Below are 10,313 nucleotides of genomic sequence, written 5' to 3'. Positions count from 1 at the left end.
TACTCAGGAGGCTGAGGCAGGAGAATTGCTTGAACCCTGGAGGCGGAGGTTGCAGTGAGCTGAGATCATGCCATTGCACTCCAGCCTGGGCGGCAGAGTGAGACTCCATCTCAGAAAAAAATAAATAAATAAATAACATTATCATTTACATTAGCACCCCAAAAATGAAATACTTAGGAATAAATATAACAAAATATATACAAGATCTATACAAGGAAAACTACAGTATTCTTTTGAATGATATCAAAGCAGAATTAAATAAATGGAGAGATAGTTCATGCTCATGAATAGGAATACTCAATATTGTCAAGATGCCAATTCTTCCAAACTTGATCTATAGAGTCAATACAATATCAATCAAAATCCCGGAAGAAGAACAGAGTTGGAGGACTCACACTACCCAACGTCAAGACTTAATATAAAGCTACAGTAATCAAAACGATGTGGCATAGGCAAAAAGAAAAATAGATTGACAAAGAGATAAATATAACAAAATAGAGACATTAGAAATAGATCCAACTAAATATAATCATCTGATCTTTGACAAAGGAGAAAAGGCAATACAATGGAGCAAAGATAGTCTTTTCAACAAATGGTGCTGGAACAACTGGACATCCACATGCAACAAAATGAATCTAGACACAGATTTTACACCCTTCAAAAAATTAACTCAAACTGGATCAAAGATCTAAATGTAAAATGCAAAACTATAAAACTCCTAGAAGATAACATAGGAGAAAATCTAGATGACCCTGGATATGCCACTGACTTTTTAGATACAAAACAAAAGGCATGATCCATAAAAGAAATAATTGATAAGCTGGACTTCATTCAAATTAAAAACTTCTGCTCTGTGAAAGACAATGTCAAGTGAATGAGAAGAAAAGCCAGACTGGGAGAAAATATTTGAAAAATATACATATGATAGAGGACTATTATCCAAAATATACAAAGAACTCTTAAAACTCAATAATAAGAAAATGAACAACTTGATTTATAAGTGGGCAAAAAACCTTAACAGACACTTCACCAAAGAAGATACATGAATGGCAAGTAAGCATATGAAAAGATGTTCAGTGTAATTTGTCATTAGGGAATTGCAAATTAAAACAGCAATGGGATATCATTACACACCTATTACAACAGCCAAAATCCAAAACACTGACAACGACAAATGCCTGTAAGGATACAGAGCAATAGAAAGTCTCATTCATTGCTGGTGAAAAAGCAAAATGGAAGAGACACATTGTAAGACAGTTTGGCAGTTTTTAAAAAACTAAACATATTCTTACCATACGATCCAGCAGTCTCCTTCCTTGGTATTTACCCAAATGAACTGAAAACTTATGTCCACACAAAAATCTGCACACAGATGTTCATGGCAACTTTATTTTTAATTGTCAAAACTTGTAAGCAACCAAGACGTTCTTCAGTAGGTAAACAAATAAGTAAACTGTGCTTTGCTGGGCACAGTGGCTCACACCTGTAATCCCCCAACACTTTGGGAGGCCGAGACGGGTGGATTGCTTAAGCCCAGGAGTTCGAGACCAGCCTGGGCAATGTGGTGAAACCTTGTCTCTACAAAAAATAAAAATAAAAAATTAGGCAGGTGTGGTGGCACGCACCTGCAGTTCCAACTACTCAGGAGGCTGAGGTGGGAGGACTGCTCCAGCCTGGGAGGTCGAGGCTACAGTGAGCCAAGATCACGCCACTGTGCTCCAGCCTGGCTGACAGAGCAAGATGCTGTCTAAAATAAAATAAAATAAAATAAACTGTGCTTCATCCAGACAATAAAATATTATTCTGCACTAAAAATAAATGAGCTATGAAGCCATGAAAAGGCATGGAAGAAACTTAAATGCATATTACTCAGTGAAAGAAGCTAATCTGAAAAGGCTACATGCTGTATGACTCCAACCATATGACATTCTGGAAAAGATAAAACTATAAACACAATGAAAAGATAACTGCTTGCCAGGGACTGGGGGCTGGGGAAAGGAGGAATAATACAAAGCACAGATGATTTTTAGAGCAATAAAACTATTCTGTATGATACTACAATGGTGGATATATGTCATTATACATTTGTCAAACCCATAGAATTTACAACACCATGAATGAACCCTAATGTAAACTATGGATTTGAGGTGATAGTGATGTCCTGATGTAGGCTCATCAATTGCAGTAAGTGTACCATCAAATGCAGTAAATGATGCAGGATGTCAACAGCAGAGGAGGTCGTGCATGTATGGGGACAGGAGGTATATGGGAACTCACTTATTTTCTGCTCAATTTTACTGGCAAACTAAACCCACTCTAAAATATAAAGTTTATTAATTTAAAAAATCAGTTACTAAATATTAAAAACAAAGTAACCTAACTATCAAATTGGTGACATAACTACGAAGAATAATTATTTCAGTAACTTTTATATACAACATTTGACTTTCTAAATAGATAGATAGATATACAGAAAGATACAGGTATGAATATAGATATAGATATATGGTTCATATAGATATATCTTATTGGTTCTGCTTTTCTGGAGAACCCAAACTAAGATACAGAGACCAAGGACCGTTTATTACTCATAGCAATAGCAGTAGCCAGAGTATCATCATTTCTGCACTGGTTTCCCAAGAATCAGTTCTAACAGAGCAACACAAAGAGGGACAGATGACCCTGTACACGTAATGGGTTGCATCTGAGGAAAGAAACTCTGAGCTTAGGTAATTCTAATACTTTTATACGCTAAGAAGCTTGCCTGCCCTTTGCTCCAGAGGGAGACACTATCACTTTCTTCCAACACCATTGACTATACAAACATCTTTGAAAAGACAATCCAGACAACAGACAGTTAGAGCCTTGTCTTATAAGATCAAGAGAAACACAACAGCCCCATGGAGAATTGTCTTCTAATGATCTAATCAGCTGACCAATCTTAAAATCAGTAAAAATGGAGCAACCAGACATCATATGTCTCCTGATGTGATAAACAAGAAGTCCACATAACCACCCAGAGGTGATCCTTGCCAAAGAGGGTGAATCTGAATCTAATCAAGTCTAGAAATCTAGCTACCAGTTTATAGAAAATGGAGGGGATAAAGAACAACTTGAACAGAAATTGTATGGGATAAATGATTCAGTTCCTCCATCAAAAAGGTGAAATTTTAAAAGATGGGAGAAGAAAGGACAGTTATGGGTTAAAAGAGACTTGAGAATGCAATGTGCAGTCCTTGTCTGATTCTAACCTAAAGCAGCGAATTTAGGACAAGTTTTAAACAAAAGAAAAGATTCAACATGGGCAGGGAATTAGGTAACATTAAAATTATACGAGAGAATTATTATTATTATTATTATTATTATTATTATTAGGGGTTAAATGGCATTAGGGTTATATGTTTTTGAAAATCCTGTGTGTTCAAGTTAGTTACTGAACTATTTATGAATAAAATATGACAATGGCATTTGCTTTAAATTACTTCAGTACCACCAACAACAACCAAAGGAGAAGTAGAAAGACAAAGCAAACTTTGCAAAATGTTATTAATTATTAAAACTGGGTGATGAATACATAAAAGTTTAAAATACTATTTTCTTCTATATAATTTTGAAATTTTCTGTTAAAAAGTTTCATAAATAAATAAAACTGTAGAAGAATTTGTTTAAAGATCCAAATGAAAGTGAGAGAATTAATTATAAACATAGGGGTCCTAGGGCCCCTGGTGGAGTTGCTTTAATTCATACTCTAGTGGAGCATCTCAGACCTTCTGAAGCCCGACCTTCAAAACAGAATAACTTCTATTTCCCTTTGTTACATTTTTCATTGAGATGATAGAGTTTCTATTTTTTTTGGGGGGGGAGGGTATCTTCCTGTCTTTATTTATTTATTTTATTATACTTTAAGTTTTGGGATACATGTGCAGAACGTGCATGTTTGTTACATAGGTATACATGTGGAATGGTGGTTTGCTGCACTCATCAACCTATTATCTACATTAGCTTTTCTCCTAACGCTATCCCTCCCCTAGCCCCCACCCACCGACAGGCCTCAGTGTGTGATGTTCCCCTCCCTGTGTCCACGTGTTCTCATTGTTCAATTCCCACTTATGAGTGAGAACATGCAGTGTTTGGTTTTCTGTTCCTGTGTTAGTTTGCTGAGAATGATGGTTTCCAGCTTCATCCAGATGGATTAAAGACTTAAACTTAAGACCTGAAACCATAAAAGCCCTAGAAGAAAACCTAGGCAATACTATTCAGGACATAGGCATGGGCAAAGACTTCATGACTAAAACACCAAAAGCAATGGCAACAAAAGCCAAAATTGACAAACGGGATCTAATTAAACTAAAGAGCTTCTGCACAGCAAAAGAAACTATTATCAGTGTGAACAGGCAACCTATAGAATAGGAGAAAATTTTTGCAATCTACCCATCTGACAAAGGGCTAATATCCAGAGTCTACAAGGAACTTAAACAAATTTATAGGTTTCTATTTTTAAAAAAGGTAGGAGAGGCCAGGTGCAGTGGCTCATGCCTGTAATCCCAGCACTTTGGGAAGCAGAGGCAGGCGGATGTCTTGAGGTCAGGAGGTCGAGACCAGCCTGGCCAACATGGTGAAACCCCATCTCTACTAAAAATACAAAAAAAATTAGGTGGGTGTGGTGGCAGACACCTATAATCCCAGCTACTCGGGAGGCTGAGGCAGGAGAATCGCTTGAACTAGTGAGGCGGAGGTTACAGTGAGCCAAGATCGTGTCACTGCACTCCATCCTGGACGACAGAGCGAGACTCCACCTAAAAAAATATATATATATAGGAGAGATAGCAAAATAGAAAGAAACAGAGAGGGAAACTGACGGGAGAGCAAGAGAGAGATTGAGTTTTGTCATAAAAACAAAAAACAAACACGAGGGTGCATTTGCCTTGGATTTTTCCCCAAGGTCTCACTCCATCTATTTGAGGCAAAATTTAGCTACAGTTTTCTTCCTGTGTCCTTTTAAATTCCTCTTATCATTATATATTTTTTCAACAAATTCTTACACATTGGGCACTGTGTGAGATGCAAAGAACATGAGCAAAAAAGATGTGTCCCCTTCTTTTTTTATATGTGTCCCTTTCTTTTATTTATAGTCTAGTGGATGGGACACCCATTAATCTAATGGTCACATGGATGAGTGTTCAGTTATCAATTGAGATTAATCCTGTGAAGGAAGTAAAAGAAGATATTTCCATAAGGGCAAATGACACAACTTTGGGAAGCAAATACAACATCCCTAAGGAAGTGGCTCTTAGATCTAAAGTGTAAGTGGATGTTAACTAAGTACAGGAACCTAGGGAGAACTGTTCTAGGACAGTCAAGATGAAGGCCTTGAGCTCAGCATGCGGAAAGGAAAACGTATTAAAGGGGGCACCAGAGTACACAAAGGAGGGAGACTAGGAGACCCTCGCAGTAGCCACATTAGAGATAATGGTGGCTTACATGAGAATGGTGGCAGTGGAGATGGAGAGATGTGAACCACTGGAGAGATATTTAGGCAGTAAAACTGACCTGACTTGGTAATGGATTAGATATGATAATGAGTTTGCATGTTTCTTATTGTACTCAGTATTATTTCTGCACTATCCACCTAAAGCACTATTTGGGGGGCTGCTTTGTCAGTATATGACTGGATGAATTGATTGTAGGGTGCCAGGAAAAGTTACCACGAGCTGGTCCTAAAGAAAGACTGGGCTAAATATTTTATATGAAGATGGAAAAATTGTGAGGAGAGAAATGGGACTGCTTTCTAGCATCTCACCACTTCTATCCATACACACAAATACATTCCAACTTACTGCCCAGCCCCTGAGCAAAGAGGAATTTTCTGAAGTCAAAGATCTGGTTTGCTTTTAGACTCTTACAAGCTGAGAGACATTGGTCATTTTAAGTTTCTGAGTCAGGGAACTCAAGCTGCCTTCAAGGACCATGAACAGAGACTCTTGACTCCTTAATAGGGTACCTGGGCTGAAATCTGAAGGAGAAGAAGCTGGTGAGAGCAGTTTACACCTGGGAGTGATGAGCCCTACAGTACTACTTTGAGGGAAGGCTGGTCCCTTCTTCTTGTGAAATCATGCAAATGGTACTTTTTATTGTACAAATGTAAAGAATGTAGTTCTATTTCAAAAGAGTGTCTTTGCTTTAAATTTGTCTATCCAAAACCTGATTACCTCCCCACCCACAGAGGGAAAGATCCAGGGTTCTAGTAAGCAACAATCTACTAAGTTTTCTCTAATGACTATAATGTGGAAAGAGAAGAAATGGCAGGTGAGGTGGAGTTGGGGATTGGGAAAGAGTCCAAGCAAGATAGATGTAACAACATAATCAAACATAATTTTTTCTGTCTGAGAAGGAAGCAGAGCAAGATGGCCAACTAGAAGCCTCTACTAACCGTCCTCCTTACAGGAACACCAAATTTAACGACTATCTATACATACACACACACACACATAAAAAAAACCTTTATAAGAACCAAAAATTAGGTAAGCAATTACAGTACCTGGTTTCAACTTCATATCACTGAAGGAGGCACTGAAGAGAGTAGGAGAGACAGTCTTGAATTGCAAATGCCACCCCTTCCACATCCCCCAGCAGTAGCCACATGGCATAGAGAATCTGTGCACTTAGGGGAGAGAAAGAACAGTGATTGTGGGGCTTTTCAGGGGAACTCATTGCTTCCCTGTCACAGAAGAAAGCAACACCAGGCAGAACTCAGCCAATGTCCTTGAAGGGAGCATTTAAACCACCTAGCCAGAGGGACTGTCCATCCCAGTGGCCAGAATTTGCTACCATGGGGTAGAGTGCAATGGGGTCCTAAATAAACTTGAAAGGCAGTCTGGGCCACAAGGACTGCAACTCCTAGGCAAGCCCTAGTGCTGTAGTGGGCTCAGAGCCAGCGGATCGGGGTCACACAACCTAGTGAGATACCAGCTGGGGCAGCCAAGGGAGTGCTTATGCTACCCCTCTCTCAACCCCAGGCAGCACAGCTAACAGCTTCTACTCCAAAAGACACTCCTTCCTTCTGCTTCAGGAGAGGGAAGAGCAAAGAGGGCTCTGTGTTGTAACTTGGATACTAGCTCAGCCACAGTAGGGTAAGGAACCAGGCAGAGTCCTGAGGCACCCAATACAGGCCCTAGGTTCCAGATGACATTTCTAGACACATTCTGGGCCATAAGGGAACCCACTGCTTTGAATAGAAGGTCCCAGTCCTGGAAGGATTCATCATCTGCTATTGATGAAAACACACTTGGGCCCTGAATAATCAGCCCCAAAAGCCAGGTAGTACATGTTGTTGGCCTGGGGTAGGACTCGGAGATGTGCTTGCTTCAAGCATGACCCAGCATATTACCAGCTTTGGTGACTACTGGGAGAGATTTCTTCTGCTTAAGAAAAGCAGAGGGAGGAGCAAAGAGGACTTTGTCTTACAGCATAGGTACCTGCTGAACCACAGTGGGTTTGAGCACTAAGTAGGCTCTTGGGGTCATCAGTTCTAGGCCTTGACTCTTGGGTGGCATTGCTGGACCTGCCCTGAGCCAGAAGGGAGCCCACTGCCCTGAAGGGTGAGTCTGAGGTTTCACAACATTTACCACAAGATGACTGAAGAGCCCTGGGGCCTTGAGTGAACATCAGTAGTAGCCTGGCAATACTCCCATGGCCCTGTGATCCTGGTGACCATAGAGGTGGCCTCTGCTTGTGGAAAGATGAGGGAAGAGTGGGAAGGACTTTAGCTGTGGCTTGGGTGTCAGCTGCAGTATAATAGAGCACCAGATTGATTCCTAAAATATCCAACTCCAGGCCCTGACTCTCAGATAACATCTCTGGACCCACCCAGAGCTTGAGGGAACTCATCACCCTAAAGGAAAGGACGTAAGCCTGGCTGGCTTTACCATCTGCTGTTTGTAAAGCCCTAGGGTCTTGAGTGAACATGAGCAGAGAGTTGTTACAGTGGGCTTTGGTAAGACCCAGTGCAGTGTTGGTTTCAGATCTGACCCAGCTAAGTCCCAGTGATCATGGCCACAGGGTTGCTTGTATCATCCCTCAACCAGTTCCAGGCAGTTCAGCACAGAGAGAGAGAGACTCCATTTGTCTGGGAGAAAGTAGGGAAGAAAACAAGAGTATCTGCCAGGTAAGCCAGAGAATTCATCCAGATCTTATCCAAAACCACCTGCCAGAGTCTGCAAGAGCCACAGCGTTACTGAGCTTGGGGTGCCCTCTAATGCAGATGTGGCAGCAGTGACCAAAAACATAGATCATGACACCCAAGTTCCTACAAATACTTGGAAAGCCTTCCCAACAAGGATAGATACAAACAAGCCCAGACTACAAAGACTACAATAAATACCTAATTTTGCAATTTCCAGACACTGATGAACATCCACAAGCCTCAAGACCATCCAGGAAAACATGACCTTACCAAAAGAACTAAATAAGGCACCAGGGACCAATCCTGGAGAGAAAGGGATATGTGACTTTTCAGATAGAGAATTCAAAATAGCTATTTTGATGGGACGCATGGCTCATGCCTGCAATCCCAGCACTTTGGGAGGCCGTAGAGGATGGATCACGAGGTCAAAAGTTCTAGACCAGCCTGGCCAACATGGTGAAACCCCGTCTCTACTAAAAATATAAAAATTAGCTGGGCATGGTGGCATGCAACTGTAATCTCAGCTACTCAGGAGACTGGGGCAGGAGAATCACTTGAACCAGGGAGGTGGAGGTTGCAGTTAGCTGAAATGGCACCATTACACTCCAGCCTGGGCGACATAGCAAGACTCTGTCCCCCACCCAAAAAATAATAATAGCTATTTTGAGGAAACTCAACAAAATTTAAAATAATACAGAGAAGGAATTCAGAATCCTACCAGATAAATTTAACAAAAAGATTGAAATAATTTTTTAAAAATCAAGCAGAAGTTCTGGAGTTGAAAAATGCAACTGACATACCAAAGAATGCATCAGAGTCTCTAATAGCAGAACTGATCAAGCAGAAGAAAGGATTGGTGAGCTTGAAGACAGGCTATTTGAAAACACATAATCCCAGGAGACAAAAGATAAGAACAAAAAAAGAATGGAGCATGCCTACAAGATTGAGAAAATGGCATCAAAAGGACAAATCTAAGAGTGATTGGCCTTAAAGAAGAAATAGAGAGATAAAGGTAGAAAGTTTATTCAAAGGGATAATAACAAAGAATTTCACAAACCTAGAGAAAAATAGCAATATTAAAGTATAAGAAGGTTACAAATCGCCAGGTGGATTTCACCCAAATAAGACAACCTCAAGACATTTAATAATCAAACTCCTAAAAGTCAAAGATAAAGAAACGATCTTAAAAGCACACACACACAAAAGAAACAAATAACATACAATGTAGCTTCAATATGTCTGGCAGCAGACTTTTCAGTGGAGACCTTACAGGTCAGGAGAGAGTGGTATGGCATATATAAAATGCTGAAGGAAAAAAGTTGTTTTTACCCTAGCATTGAAAATCCAGTGAAAATATCCTTCAAACATGAAGAAGAAATAAAGCCTTTCCCAGACAAACAAAACCTGAAGGAGATTTCATCAACATCGGACCTGTCCTACAAGAAATGCTAAAGGGAGTTATTCAGTCTGAAAGAAAAGGAGAAATACTTTTCTTTCTTTTCAGAAAGAAATTTTTTTTTCTGAAAGAAAACGAGCAATAAGAAATCATCTGAAGGTACAAAACTCACTAGTCATAGTAAGTACACAAAAAAATCACACAACATTATAACACTGTAATTATGGTATGTAAACTCCTACCTTGAGTAGAAAGACTAAAAGATGAACCTATCAAAAATAATGAATACAAAAACTTTTCAAGACAAACAGTACAAAATTTATAAATACAAACAACAAAAAGTTAAAAAGTGATGGGAGGAAGTTAAGATGTAGAGATTTTATTATTTTTATGCAATCAGTGTTAAGTTGTCATCAGTTTAAAATAATGGGTTATAAAATATAAATGTGCAAGCCTCACGGTAATCTCAAATCAAAACACATACAATCAATACACAAAAAGTAAAAAGTGAGAAATTAAAACATTCCACCAGAGAAAATCACCTTCAATAAAAGGAAGACAGGAAGGAAGGAGAGAAGGATGAGAAGACTAGGAAACAACCCAAAAACAAATAACAAAATGGCAGGAGTAAGTCCTTACTTATCAATAACATTGAATGAAAATGGACTAACCTCTCCAATCAAAAGACATATAGCGGCTGAATGGATTTTAAAAAATAAGACCCAATTATCTGTT

Source organism: Homo sapiens, chromosome 14, assembly GCF_000001405.40.
Source record: "Homo sapiens chromosome 14, GRCh38.p14 Primary Assembly".
Classification (NCBI taxonomy): domain Eukaryota; kingdom Metazoa; phylum Chordata; class Mammalia; order Primates; family Hominidae; genus Homo; species Homo sapiens.
Note: the sequence above shows the minus strand (reverse complement) of the source record.